At 43.4% G+C, this 15,312-nt stretch overlaps 1 protein-coding gene across 17 annotated transcripts in view; it reads left to right on the forward strand.

The window, feature by feature from the left end:
- ZFP90 (ZFP90 zinc finger protein) overlaps positions 1 to 15,312 on the forward strand; it is a 43,028-nt gene that overhangs the window by 13,528 nt on the left and 14,188 nt on the right. For 14 of the 17 annotated variants that reach the window (XM_017022952.3, XM_024450159.2, XM_047433640.1 and 11 more), the window contains 2 exons: positions 10,992 to 11,118; positions 11,467 to 11,562. In XM_017022952.3, the coding sequence (XP_016878441.1) occupies positions 10,992 to 11,118; positions 11,467 to 11,562 (223 nt within the window). Of the gene's footprint in view, positions 1 to 10,991; positions 11,119 to 11,368; positions 11,563 to 15,312 lie in introns of all 17 variants that reach the window. The other 3 variants (NR_130978.2, NR_130976.2, NR_130977.2) reach the window with 1 other exon arrangement.

Here is a 15,312-nt window from a genome sequence, read left to right on the forward strand (position 1 = left end):
TTTACATGTTTAGCTATTGTGAATAATGCTGCTATGGCACTGAACATGAACATGAGGCATTGAACTATTGAACGTGGGGGTACAGATATCTCTTTGAGACCTGACTTTAAATTCTTTTGGTTATATACCCAGAGAGAAATTGCGGGGTCATACGGTAATTTTTTTCCGGAACCACCATACTGTTTCCATAGCAGCTGTATCTTTTTACATTCTTAACAGTGCACAAAGGGTTCTAATTTATCCACATCCCCCCAACCCTTGTTATTTTCTGTTTTATCTTGATAGTAGCCATCCTAACCAGTGTGAGGTGATATCTCATTGTAGTTTTGATTTGCATTTCTCTAATAATTAGTGTTCTTGAACATCTTTGTGTATCTTCTTTGGAGAAATGTTTATTCAAGTTCCTGGCACATTTTTGAATTGTTTTTTGTTGGATTTTTAGGAGTTCTCTATATATTCTGGGTATTACTTGCTTAATAATCTAGACTTTTTAATAGAAAAAAGTCATTTATGATCCCTCTTCCTTAGGACCTCTGTATTTGTTTTGGTGAATTTTCTTTTCTCCTTATGCATATTTTTCCCCTTAAACATTTTTAATTACAATGTATTTTAAATTTCATATAAATTTTATGAGGATTATTTTTGTTGTTGTTTAAAATCAGTTTTAATGACTATATTATATTGCTTTGTATGAATGTACCAAAATTTATTTAGCCATTTCTCAGAGAACATTTAGGTTGTTTCTGAAATTTTTACTATTATACATAATGCTGGGATAAAATTCCACTTGGTTGTAATACATAAGTTTTTCAAAATACAGTTGATCTCTCTTTTTTTTTTTTTTTTGAGACAGAGTTTTGCTCTTGTTGCCCAGGCTAGAGGGCAATCTCAGCTCACTGCAACCTCTGCCTCCTGGGTTCAAGCGATTCTCCTGCCTCAGTCTTCCAAGTAGCTGGGATTACAGGCGTGTACCACCATGTCTGGCTAGTTTTGATTTTTTAGTAGAGATGGAGTTTCACCATGTCGGTCAGGCTGGTCTCGAACTTCTGACCTCAAGTGATCCACCTGCCTCAGCCTCCCAAAGTGCTGGGATTACAGGTGTGAGCCACCGTGTCCGGCCCAGTTGATCATTTTTTAATATCTGTATTACTAAGGGAAATAGCCACCAGAGAGAAAGCACTCTCTTGGATGGGTTTTGGTGTCATGCTTATCCTTAATTTGTAGAAACATTCAGATTGCTTTTCACCTTTTTCTGTCTTTTGAAAGAATTTACCTATAAAACATTTAGACTCAGGATTTTTATAGACAAGATGTTTTGGCAACAATTTTCTCTATTTCCTCCTCAATTATAAAGGTTTCTGCTTTTTTGTGTAAACATTGGTAGTTTAGAATTTAAAAGTTTTTTGTTAAGATTTTTTGCATTTCTTAACACACTAGTGTGTATATTTCACTGTTCTGTTTATCCTCCTTTTTTTTTTTTTTTTTTTTTTTTTTTTTTATTGAGACGGAGTTTCGCTCTTATTGCCCAGGCTGGAGTGCAATGGCGCAATCTCGGCTCACCGCTACCTCCGCTTCCCAGGTTCAAGCAATTCTCCTGCCTCAGCCTCCTGAGTAGCTGGGATTACAGGCATGCACCTCCACACCCGGCTAATTTTGTATTTTTAGTAGAGATGGGGTTTCTCCATGTTGGTCAGGCTGGTCTCGAACTCCCGACCTCAGGTGATTCGCCCGCCTCGGCCTCCCAAAGTGCTGGGATTACAGGCATGAGCCACTGTGCCCAGCCTTATCCTCCTATCTTTAAGTTCATCTTTTAAAAATTTCTTCTTACTCGATTTATCAGAGGTTTTTCTATTTGGCTGGTGCTTAAGAGGAACCAGCCTTAGATTTGGCTGTTAATGCCATCGTTTTTCTGTTTGCCTCTGTTTTTTATAATCCAAGAATTTAATTCACTAACCCATGTGTTTTTTTTTAATCCTCGAAACAACTCCTCATTTTCCTGCATTGAGAATTACCCAGATTCTGTATCCATTCACTCAGCAGACGTGTTTGGAATGCTTGCTCTATGCCAGGCAGTGGTTCTTAACCAGGGTCATGCTTCAGAACCAGTCAGGAAGTGGTGCCTGCTTCCTCTGGGGTGGTGACAAGGCTTCAGTGAGGAAATGTGGTGAGAGTGCACGTAAATGACTGAGTTTAGTGTTTGCCTAGCAGCGAGTGTTCAAGAAATCTGAGCTGTTGCTCTTTGATAATGAACCACCTGAGGAGCTTTTAAAAGATGCTGGGCAAGACCCTCCATGCATGGACAATTTAGAAAAGCTGCCCAGGTGATTCTGGACACTCTCCACTTGCAGTGTCAGAGATACTGAAATGAAAAGGAGTTTAAGAAATTTTTGGCTGGGCGCGGTGGCTCATGCCTGTAATCCCAGCACTATGGGAGGCTGAGGCAGGTGGATCACGAGGTCAGGAGATCAAGACCATCCTGGCTAACATGGTGAAACCCCGTCTCTACTAAAAATACAAAAAAAATTAGCTGGGCGTGGTGGCGGGTGCCTGTACTCCTAGCTACTCGGGAGGCTGAGGCAGGAGAATGGCGTGAACCTGGGAAGCGGAGCTTGCAGTGAGCCGAGATCGTGCCACTGCACTCCAGCCTGGGCGACTGAGCAAGACTCCATCTCAAAAAAAAAAAAAAAAAAAAGTCTTGAGGGAGAAAAATGTAACTAGATGGCTACGGTTCTGAAATGGAGATGGGGACCAAATGCTGAAGGGGGATGGGGAGCACGGAGGATGTGGGGAAGCTTCAGGAGGGAATGGAACAGTGAACTGGTTCTACAAGGATGACTAGGAATTTTTCCTGTGGAACTGAGGGAAGAAAGTACATTATGGTCAGAATAGGATGTATAAAGGCAAAGAAACACAAAAGAAAATGTTGTTACTGGGCCAAAGAGTCCATGTGGCAGAAGCTTTGGGTATATGACAGGAGGCAGCATTTGAGAGAAAGATGGCCTGAGGTGGAGACCTAGAACAATGTAGAACGGTGGTGTGCCAAAGAAATACACATTCCATGTGTAATTTTAAGTTTTCTAGTGGCTACAATATAAAAAGAAACAGGTGAAATTAATTTTAGTAATAAATATTATTTAAAACAATATATCCAGAATATTATCATCTCTACATGTGATAAATGTTTTAAAATTACTAATGAGGCATTTTACATTCTTTCCTTGATAGTAAATCTTTGAAATTCGGTGTGTATTTTATTTTATTTTATTTATTTGAAACAGAGTCTCACTCTGTCGCCCAGGCTGGAGTGTAGTGGCGCAATCTTGGCTCACTGTAACCTCCGCCTCCTGGGTTCAAGCCATTCTCCTGCCTCAGCCTCCTGGGATTACAGGCATGTGCCACCACACCTAGGTAATTTTTGTATTTTTGTAGAGACTAGGTTTCTCCATGTTGGCCAGGCTGGTCTCAAACTCCTGACCTCAGGTGATCCACTCACCTCAGCCTCCCAAAGTGCTGGGATTATAGGTGTGAGCCACTGCGCCTGGCCCAGTGTGTATTTTGCTTAATCACACATGCCCATTTGGACTAGCTACATTGCAAGTGTGACTTTTAAGTTTGTCTGCTCTTTTTCTTTTCCTCCTAGCATTTAAAACCAGTTTGTAATTGGGTGAACATCTAAATCCTTAATTTAAAAACATAATGAATAGCCACATGTGGCCAGTGGCTGCCATATTAGACTGTGTGGCTGTAGATTGCCATTCCCTGGATTAATGCTGTCATTAGCAAGGGAGGATTTCAGCTGGATTTGAAGGATGAAGGCAAGGGACTGAATTCAGGAGACATTTCTGAGGCTTTTGGTGACTGCAAGGCATAAAGGAAAAATGAAGAGTCAAGGAGGAGGTCCAGGTTTCCAGTCTTCAATACTGCAGATGGTGATGCAGTAGGAATCTGTGTGTGTGCAAAGGTTGACAGTGATGTTCTTCTCTCTGTACACCATTGTTAGTTACACGGTCAACTATCGGCTTGTTAAACTATGATCAATCTGGTATCAGAGGCCACTTAGTGCTTAAGTGGAGATACCACACTGTATTGCCGTAAATGTGATGTTTTCTGATTGGGCAAACTGTATTTGTACATGTCCTTTCTGGAAGTGCCCTTTCACCCCATCTGCTCATAAAACTCTTTATTTCTGTAGTTCAGGGAACTCATGTTATTGATGAGGTAATTGGATCTCCAGGAGGTGTGAGATCTACTCAAGGATATTATGCATTTATTCATTATGGAGCTTTTTAGGAGCCCATGAAATTGAGTCTTCTCAACTTAGTATATGCTGTTCCTAGTTCCTTGCTTTGGGCTCAACCATTTGGCCAAGATCCTTGTATGTCAGCATAAGGAAAGGGAACATGTGATCCTTTTTTTTTTTTTTTTTTTTTTTGGAGACGGAATCTTGCTCTGTTGCCCAGGCTGGAGTGCAGTAGCACAGTCTTGGCTTACTGCAAACTTCGTCTCCTGGGTTCAAGCAATTCTCCCTGCCTCAGCCTCCCAAGTAGCTGGGATTACAGGTGCCCGCCACCACGTCCAGCTAATTGTATTTTTAGTAGAGACAGGGTTTTGCCAGGTTGGTCTCAAACTCCTGATCTCAGGTGATCCACCCGCCTTGGCCTCCCAAAGTGGTAGCATTACAGGCATGAGCCACTGCACCTGTCTGGAACATGTGATACTTCTTAATAACTTTGTTCGTTGCTTTTTGGTTTTTGTTTTTGTTTTTTTATTTAGGCAGAGTCTGGCTCTGTCACCCAGGCTGGAGTGCAGTGGCGTGATCTCGGCTCACTGCAAGCTCCGCCTCCCAGGTTCACACCATTCTCCTGCCTCAGCCTCCTCAGTATCTGGGACTACAGGCGCTCGCCACCGTGCCCGGTTAATTTTTTTTAAATTTTTATTAGAGAGGGAGTTTCACCGTGTTAGCCAGGATGGTCTCGATCTCCTGATCTCGTGATCCACCCGCCTTGGCCTCCCAAAGTGCTGGGATTACAGGCATGAGCCACTGCGTCTGGCTGCTTTGTTAGTTTTTAAAAGGGGTTGATGATGAAGTCCTGTTACATCTGGAAGAAGGATGAGCAGCTATCTGCAAGGTGTTACTGGATCATTTATTAGGGTTCAAGGTGTGACCTGTAGCATGAGATGCCCTGAAGTTGATCTGACTCAGAGTGACTAACTTCCACCAAGAGTGCATTTTACCTATTTACTCCGGCAAACTTTTGATTGTCTGTTATGTACCAAACTGGTTCTCGCCTCTGGAAATTTGAAGGTGCCTGAGCCAAGGTCTTGACCTTCTAGGAGCACAGTTTGGTAGGAGTGACCACTGGGTAACAGACACCTGAATGTAGTAGTGTCTTATGAGCTGTGCTAGAGAGAGGCCCAGGGAGGAGAGCTGCTGGGATGGGAGGGGGACACAGCCCAGACCTGGGGTACGAATGGGGCCCCAGAGGAGAGAACTTGACCAAGTCTTGGTGAAGAGTGAAGAGTGAGCCTTAGCCAAGCCGAGGAAGAAAGGCTGAGCGCTTGAAGTAACGCTTGCCGAGGTGAAAGAACGTTCTGGTTTCAAGGAGCTGTAACTCTTCTGCATGGCCAAATGTTAGTGTCTGAGGGGAGGAGAAGCCAGAGTGGGGGCTGTGGAGGTCCCCAGGGGACTAGGCCATGAAGGGCTCTGAAGCTCACACTGAGGAATCTAAGTTTTAATCTCAAGACAAATATTTATTAAATATTTGTGGATGAGGCATGGTGGCTAATACCTGTCATCCCAGCACTTTGAGAGGCTGACACAGGAGAACTGCTTGAGCCCATAAGTTCATAGACCAGCCTGGGCAACATAGAGAAACCCTATCTCTACAAAAGTAAAAAAAATAGGTATGGTGGCACACACCTGTGGTCCCAGCTGCTTAGGAGGTTGAAATGGGAAAATTGCCTAGGCCCGGTAGGTCAAGGCTGCAGTGATCTATGATTGCACCACTGCACTCCAGCCCGGGCAACAGAGCAAGACCTTGTCTCAAAAGAAAAATGTATTAAATATTTGTGGAGCACCTACTACATGTCAGGTCTGTTCTAGACAATGGAGATTCAACAGTAAAGAAAATAAATAGTATTCTTGCTCTCGGGGTTTACATTCTGCTTTGGGATATAGACCGTAAACATGATATGTCAGGTGGCAAAGGCTGTGAAAAAGACAGTGAGAATGTAGAATGGGGTGCTATTTTGTGTAGGATGGTGAGGGAAGGTTGCTCTGATAAGGTGACATTTGAACAAAGAGCTGAAGCCAGTGAGTGGGGAGCCACGGGCGTACATGCAGGAAGAGGCTTTCAAGTCAAGGGAAAAGGCGGAACACAGGCACCAGGGAGGAAGTAGGTTTAGTGTCTTCCAGGAATCAGAAGGAGGGTGGGGTGGGTGCAGGCGAGAGCTGCAGGCAGGGGAGGAGGCTTGAGGTGAAGTCAGGGAGCTAGCTGGCACCCAGATTGTGAAGTGCCTATAGGCGGCCATAAAGACTTTGACTTTACTTGAAATGAATCGGTGCCATTGGAGGCCTTGAAACAGAGGTGACTTGATCTGGCAGATTTTTGTTTTGTTTTGTTTTTCTTTGAGACAGGGTCTTGCACTGTCACCCGGGCTAGAATGAAGTGGTGTCATCGTGGCTCACTGTAGCCTTGAACTCCCGGGCTCAAGCAGTCCTCCTGCCTCAGCCCTCCAAGTAGCTAGGACCATAGATGCAAGCCACCATGCCCAGCTAATTTTAAAAAATTTGTTTGTGTTAGAGATGGGGTCTCACTGTGTTGCCCAGGCTGGTCTGGAACTCCTGGCCTCTAGTGATCTTCCCACCTCAGCCTCCCAAAGTGCTAGGATCACAGGTGTGAGCCACCATGCCCAGCAGTCTGGCAGATTTTAACAAGATCTCTCTGGTTGTAATGTGGAAAATGGACTTGGGTGGTGGGGCAAGAGTGAGAGGAGAGATGAACTAGGAGGTTGTAGCAGTAGTTCAGGTAAGAGATGGTGACACGAACTAGGGTGAGGGTGACAGAAATAGGGAAAAGTGGGAGACAGTGAAGGGTTTATGGGTTGTGTTTTGTTTTGTTTTTTTTTTTTTTGAGATGGAGTCTCGCTCTGTTGCCCCGGCTGGAGTGCAGTGGTGGTGTCTCGGCTCATTGCAGTTTCCACCTCCCGGGTTCAAGTGATTCTCCTGCCTCATCCTCCCGAGTAGATGGGATTACAGGCGCCCGTCACCACGCCTGGCTAATTTTTGTATTTTTAGTAGAGACGGTTTCATTCCGCTTTCCCAAAGAGTTTGCCACGTTGGCCATGCTGGTCTTGAACTCCTGACCTCAGGTGATCCACCCGCCTCAGCCCCCTAAAGTGCTGGGATTACAGGCATGAGCCACTCAGCCTGGCTGCAGTGAAGTGTTTGTGAACATGATCAAATTTGTGTTTTGAAGTAACTCTGATAGTGCCCAGGGGAGAAAAAGGGGATTGGGATCAAGAGTTAAAGAACAGAGGCCAGTGGTTGCCCTGTCAAGGCAAGAAGTTATGAGTGGCTTGGAGCAGACGTTTGCTTGCTGGTTAGCACATTCTTCACCTTGAGTGCAGACTCTTTGGGAAAGCAGAATGAAACCAGGAGGCCGGCCAGGCTCAGAGGCTCACACTTGTAATCTCAGCACTTTAGGAGGCCGAGGTGGGAGGATCACTTGAGCCCAGGAGTTTGAGACCAGCCTGGGCAACATAGTGAGACCCCATCTCTATTAAACAAAATAAAACAAAATAAACCAGGAGGCCATATGTTAAATATGAGGAACCAGTTAAGCAAAGGAGTCCTGGTTGGGCAATGACTATTACTAAACCGAAGAGACAATATGTCTAGAGGGTAGAGTAGGCAGTGGGGAGAAGGTTTTACTTCTCACCACTTATCTCAAAATGGCTGGTCCAACCCCTTTATCCTTGCTGGCCATGCCTCTCCCAAGACCAGCCTCCCTTCTCAAGCTTCCCAGTCCCTGGATTGGATTCCCACATTTTCTTCTTCCATGCAGGTGGCACTTACCTCTTAGGACCTGGTACAGAGCCTACCTTGAAGTGTTCTCTCCCTCTCCCAATCTTTTGTGCTTTGAGCGCCTGCAGCACCTCACCTTACTGTGTATTGTCTCATATTGTGCTCTAATAAATAACGCTTTTAAAATAAACTGAACCGTATTCAAGGACTGCAGTGTTTTTCTTTTGCATTTTTAGTCTGCCACAGTGTATATAGTAAATCCAGGCACCTTGTAAATATCTAGTCTGTCAAATCTCTAACCTTGATCAGAAAAATGGCCCCAGTTTCATCCCTCCCCTGTTCCTGCAGGGACACAGCCAAGTGTTGAACAGAAATATGGGGCAGAGGAGCCAGTATGGTGTGTGGATGTGGTCATGCACCTCACTCAGTAGAAGGGGCCACTCCTGCCTTCTTTAATATTCAAATGTCATCCATCTCCTTAAGGCTCAACTCATTCAGGAAACAGAGATATAGTGTGAGTCAGGTACTTGCTGGACAATGGTGTTGTAGAATTTCAAAAACAACCAAAAGTATTATCCCTGCCCTCATAATGTGTACCATTTAACTAGGAAAACAAGCATTAAATAGATGAGTAGGTTTGTTTGAATAATGGTAGGTGTGCAGAGTGGTTTAAAGCACATGATAGGGAGGTTGACTCTCCAGTGGGGGATCAGAAGACTTCACTGGAGATCTGCTAACTGGCACCTGAAGTATGAAATGGAATTAGCTAAGGGAAATGGGAGGACAGAATGATACTCTTGAGGAATTTGAGTGAATCGGTTCAGCTATACCTAAGCAAACAAGAGAAGGGTACAGAATAAGCTGAAGCCTCTGTGAAACCTTCCCTCACTGCTCCAGCTAACTCAGCTCTGCTTTCGATGTCTTTTTGCACTAATTGTCTTTGCCATACTTTATTATATACTTTCTGAGACAGAAGTCTAACCAGGAATTAGCTAGATATGGTGGCATATGCCTGTAGTCCCAGCTACTCTGGAGGCTAAGGTGGGAGGATTACTTGAGCTCAGGCAGTTGAGGCTGCAGTGATTCATGATTGAGCCACTGGACTCCAAGCTGGGTGAGAGAGTGAGATCCTGTCTCCAAAAAAAAAGCCTAACCAAAAGTACATAGCTCAAGGAGGCCATGGTCACAGGTGACTCATGGTTTAACAAAGCCAAGTGATTCTAGACAATCAGCTCTCTAGCATCAGAGCTGACAATTGGGAGGCATGGGGCACCTCAGCCAGCCAGCCAGCCATGTGTCCATGGGATGGTAGAGGAAAAAGTGATTAGAGTAGGGTATGAGGCAGTGAAAGACCTTTGACCTAGCCGTTGTAATTTTAGCTAGCGAGCCAGGAGAAATCCTAGCATGTTTGCCCAAAGAATATTTATTACAGTAATGTTTACAATAGCAGAATACTGGAAATAATCACAGTACCTGCTGACAGGGACTGGTTCATTGATTCATTCAGCAAGTATTTTTTAAGTGCCCACTAGGTGCCGGGCGTTGTTCTGGGCACCAGGCATGTAACTGATCAAGATAAAGTCCCTGTTCCCATGGAACTTACAGTGGAGAGACAGACAATAGGGTAACAAGCTAATATCTCCGATCATTGCTAGAAACACAAGTGTCCTTTTTCTCGGAATCTGTTCTTGAGTTCAGGTGAAAAGAACTGGGCAGTGAGAGATAGCTGGACTAGCAGGAAAATTAAACACAAAATGCGATGGATAGTGGAGGTGCTAAGACAGCCTTCCCGAGGAGGCCATGCTTGAGATGATGCCTGAATAACTGGTTAACTAGTTGTCAACCATGTGGACATGCAGGAGGCTAGGGAATAACAAAAGGGCTGGGAACAAGTTTGATGTAGTCAAGGAACATCAAGATCAGCATGCGACAGCCTGGTGAGCCATGAGGGAATTGCATTTTACTCTCTTTTTTTGAGACAGTCTCACTCCGTCATCCAGGCTGGAGTACAGTGGCATGATCATGGCTCACTGCAACCTCTGCCTCCTGTACTCAAGTGATCCTTCCAGCTCAGCCTCCTGAGTAGCTGGGACTGTAGGCACACACCACCATGCCAGGCTAATTTTTTGATCTTTTGTAGAGATGGGGTTTTGCTCTATTGCCTAGGATGGTCTCAAACTCTTGGGCTCCTGTAACAAAGGAAGTGAACCGGCTCAAGCGTTCTGCCGGCCTTGACCTCTCAAAGTGTTAGGATTACAGGTGTGAACCACCCGCGTGCCCTGTCGCATTTTATTATTAATACGGCGAGGTGTTGTTGGTTTTAATCAGTGGGTACCTGTGATACAGGTGTACTGTGGAGTACTATGAAGCAGTTCAATAAGGTGCAATTATTCCACTATGCAAAGATCTCTAGGATACATAGCTAAATCAAAAAGTAAGTTGTAGAACAATATGTATGGTATTTCATAAAACAAGATTCTGTGTTGGGGTGTGAGTATGGTTAAGTGGGTGGGTGGGGTGTTAATAAACATGAACAAGGGACTTTGTGTATACACCAAACTATTAAGAGTGGTTATTTCTGAAAGTAAAGTGGGATTGGTTATGGTGGTGAAAGAAGGTCATCACTTTTTACTACCCACTGTATTTGGATTTTGTAACAAAGAAAGTGAATAGGCAGCAATGACTTGGTGATTGTATAAAAAGGCTTGGCTTTGAAAGAAACCAAGAAGATAGCTAGGTAGCAATACAGGTCTGCAGGACAAATTGCCCCTCATAACTTTCCTGCCTGACATACTAGATCCTTTACAAAATTATGTAAACAATAAGTTTATGTAACCCAACATTGCCTCCTCAATCTAACAAATGTGTGATCACCACTTCTGATAGCTCCTGCAGTATGTTCCCAGCATTGCCTTAGAACATTTGTGGGGTTGATCCCCAGTTGAACAGGAATGTGATTTTACAGGAATCAGTGACATTCAAAGATGTGTCTGTGGACTTCACCCAGGAAGAATGGTACCATGTCGACCCTGCTCAGAGGAGCTTATACAGGGATGTGATGCTGGAGAACTATAGCCACCTGGTTTCTCTTGGTAAGGACCACTTCTCTGAGTGTCTTTCCTGCTGATGGGCCTTTCCTTCCTTGGTTGCTATAGTGGTGGTGCCCAGAGCTTAGGTAACTGTGACCAGGGTGCTCAGGGGTCAGAGCTTGTTAATCTCATTGGGACCCAGTTTTATGGGGTTTTGAGCCTGCTCTTTAGGTAAAAGGTCTTTATTTTGCAAAACTGGAAATAGGCAATTTGATTGCATGACTCCTTAAGTTGCACCTTTTTTTTCCTTCAGAGTTCCTGAGGATCAAGGACTAGTACTGACTTGTCCTTAGGAGGGTTCTTTGTCCACTTGCACAAACAACCAAATCTTGTGTATTTACCCATGAGCAGGATATCAAGTTTCCAAGCCAGAGGTGATCTTCAAATTGGAGCAAGGAGAAGAGCCATGGATATCAGAGGGAGAAATCCAACGACCTTTCTATCCAGGTAAATGAGTGAGAGTCAGGCATTAGGAATGAATGCAGTTAATGGCACAACTTAGGGAGGGGGAGATACCCTCCAGCAGCTGGCTTGCGATCTCCTAGATCTGCATAGGAGGCTGAAGCCATCGCCTGGCCGACACCTTGTAGGTCTCTCTTCAAAAGGGTGCTCATGCTCTTGCTGGATTATTTTTCCTCTGGTGGCCTCTGATTCCCTTCATTAATTAGAGATCCCTTCTCTTACTCATTCAGAATTGAACTCCCATATTTCTTCCCTGAATTGAACTCCCGTATCTCTTTGTTGTGTTGATCTCCCCCATCTTTTCCTTGTTTAGTCTTGCTGCTTTCACTGTCAGATGCCCCAGACTTGTAGGAAACACCCACAGCCTTCCTTGATTCTCTCTCCCTTGATAACCTGCCTTCAGACTATGTGCCTTGCCACCATCTTCCTTCCATCTCATGTTCATGCTGCTTTGACTCATTACCTCCCTCCACAGTTCTGTAGTATCCTCATCTCCCAGTTCCTCGCTTGTTAAGAGCTGCTTAGCTTTAGGTCTTTAGCTTTTCTTGCTTTTCTGCCTAAGTGACCCTGCCTTAAGGAACCTGCCTTCTAGCCTCCTTTCTTGATTACCTCCTTAACAGAGTACCTGCCTCCTGGTAGTTGCAGCTCTTTATTCTATGCCATAGACTCAGAAGTCTTCCTTATTTGTACCATGGTTACTTTTATCCTTCTCAGAAGTCACATAGTTCATATTAAATACATAAAATCTAAATCCGTCACCTTTCATCCCCCACCAGTATGTTTTGCTACCTTGCCTATTTCTCATTTCTACCCTTGCCTATTAGAATCCAAAGGATTTTTAATTGCTCAGGCTGGATACCCTAATTAGTTTAGTCTTTTATTTCAACCCAGGTTGTTTTCTTCCTATGAGAAGTAGCTTAGATTTTCTTGCCTTTTAACTTCTACTGGTGGCACTGTAAACCAGGGCCCAGATTTTTAAATTAATTAATTAATAATTTTATTGAGACAGGATCTCACTCTGTCACCCACGCTGGAGTGCAGTGGTGTGATCTCGGCTCACTGCAGTCTCTGCCTCCCGGGCTCAAGCAATCCTCCCACCTCAGCCTCCCAAGTAGCTAGGACTATAGATATGTGCCACCACACCCGGCTAATTTTTTGTATTTTTAGTGAGGAAGAAACGAGGTTTCACCATGTTGCCCAGGTGGTCTTGAACTCCTGAGCTCAAGCAATCCACCCACCTTGGCCTCCCAAAGTTCTGGGATTACAAGCATGAGTGACCACACCAGCCTAATTTTTTTATTTTGAGACAGGGTCTTGCTCTGTCACCCAGGGTGCAGTGCAGTGTCTCTATCACAGCTCCCTGCAGCCTTGACCTCCTGGGCTCAAGCAATCCTCTTCCCTTTGCTTCCCAAAGTGTTGGGATTACAGGTGTGAGCCACTGCTGAGGTCCCAGATTTAGATTGCTATAATTTCCAGTTGGAATAGCTCACTCTGTTTTTTCTTTTTATAAATCAAATGGATTTTTAAAATTGTAGCTTTATTGAGGTATAATTCACATACCATGAGATTCACCCCTTTAGAGCATAGAGGTCAGTGGTTTTTTCATATATTCAGATAGTTGTACAAACAGCAACACTATCTAATTTCAGAACATTTTCCTCACACCAGCAAGAAATGTCATACCCATTAACAGTTACTCCCCATTCCCCACTCCTCTCAGTACCTGGTAACCATTAATCTAATTTCTATTTCTATGGATTTGTATATCCTGGATAGTTTGTATAAATGGAATCATATAATATGGCACTGGCTTCTTTCACTTAGCATGATGTTTTCAAGGTTCAATCATGTTCTAGCATGTATCAGTACATCATTCTTTTTTACCATTGAGGAATATTCCATTGTATGGATATATCACATTTTGTTATTCATCAGTTGCTGAACCACACTGGATTTTATTTATTTATTTATTTATTTATTTATTTATTTTGAGACAGAATCTCACTCTGTCACCCAGGTTGGAATGCAGTGGCTGTGATCTGAGGTCACTGTAACCTCCACCTCCTGGGCTCAAGCAGTTCTCATGCCTCAGCCTCCCAAGTAGCTGGGACTACAGGCACGCACCAACTCGCCTGGCTAGTTTTTGTATTTTTAGTAGAGATGGGGTTTCTACTAAACTGCTATTGGCCAGCCTGGTCTCAAACTCCTAGCCTAATATGTTCATCCCACCTCAGCCTCCCAAAGTGCTGGGATTACAAGCCTGAGCCACCATGCCCAGCCACTGGATTTTAATGCTTTATCTTCTTTTTTTTTTCCGAGATGGAATCTCACTCTGTCACCCAGGCTGGAGTACAATGGCATGATGCAGTGGCATGATCTCGTCTCACTGCAACCTCCACCTCCCGGGTTCAAGCAATGCTCCTGCCTCAGCCATCTGAGTAGCTGGGACTACAGGCACACGCCACCATGCCCGGCTAATTTTTTGTATTTTAATAGAGACAGGGTTTCACCGTGTTGCCCAGGCTGGTTGCGAACTCCTGAGCTCAGGCAATGTGCCCACCTAGGCCTCCCAAAGTGCTGGGATTACAGGCATGAGCCACTGCGCCCAGCCTAATGCTTTATCTTCTTAAAATTTCTGACAAACCATTGCTATTACTCTCTGTACTTTACTATAGAAAATAGAAACTCCCTGATTTAAAAGTTCCCTATCGTACTTCCAGTATTATCCTTCTATTCCTGCTAAAACAGATCCCCTTAGGTTGAACTTCTCTTAATATTCTCTGTATGCAGCATATCTTTTTCCTCATTAGGCAATATATTCTGCCTATCCAAAGCCATTTGTTCTTTGAGTTCAAAATCTATCTAATCCATGAGATGTGATATATACTAATATTTATTTCTTCCTTTCCTGACAACAAATATCATTTATATCATCTACACTATAAAAACTCAGATTTAATAATATGCCATCTGATGGTTTTACCCTTTTCTAGTTGCCAAAAGATTGTCTTGTTTCTCTTCAAGCTCTGTTTATTATGGTATTTTAATATATTTTATCTGTGTGGCAGAGCATATAGAAAGCAATCAGAACATACTTGACTGATCAGTAAGAAATCTGGTTAGCAAGAAAACTTTTCTCATTTAATCATTTCCACAAGCATTTTTTGCATGTCCCACTGAGAACAATTCTTAAAAAAATTACAAGGCATTCTCTGTCCTCAGGAGTTGAGTTGATTCTTATTGCAGGGTAAGGAGTTTGGGGATTTAGGGTCTTATTGTGATTTCCTCTCTCAACATTTTATTAGGAACATTTTCAAATAGGAAAGTTGAAAAAAATTTTACAGTCAATACCACATACCTACCACCAAGATTATCACATTTGTTGTTGTTAACATGTTATTTTATTTGCTTTGTTAACATGTGTTTTATTTGCTTTATCATGTATTTCTTTAGCCATCTATCAATCCATCTTACTTTTTGATGCATTTCCAAGTAAGTTGCAGGCATAATTACATTTCACCCCTACACTTTTAGTATGTATGTCGTTAACTAGAATTCAATTTTTTTCAGTTTTTAAAAGAAAATGTTATATGCAGTGAAATGTACAAGTCTTATATGTACCATCCAGTTGGTTTTGACAAATGCATTCACTTGCCTAACCCAAATTCCTATTGACATAGAACATTTCCATCACTCCAAAAAGCTCTCTGCCCTTAGTTTTTAAAGGTTATCGTT

Source organism: Homo sapiens, chromosome 16 (genome assembly GCF_000001405.40).
Source record: "Homo sapiens chromosome 16, GRCh38.p14 Primary Assembly".
Lineage (NCBI taxonomy): Eukaryota > Metazoa > Chordata > Mammalia > Primates > Hominidae > Homo > Homo sapiens.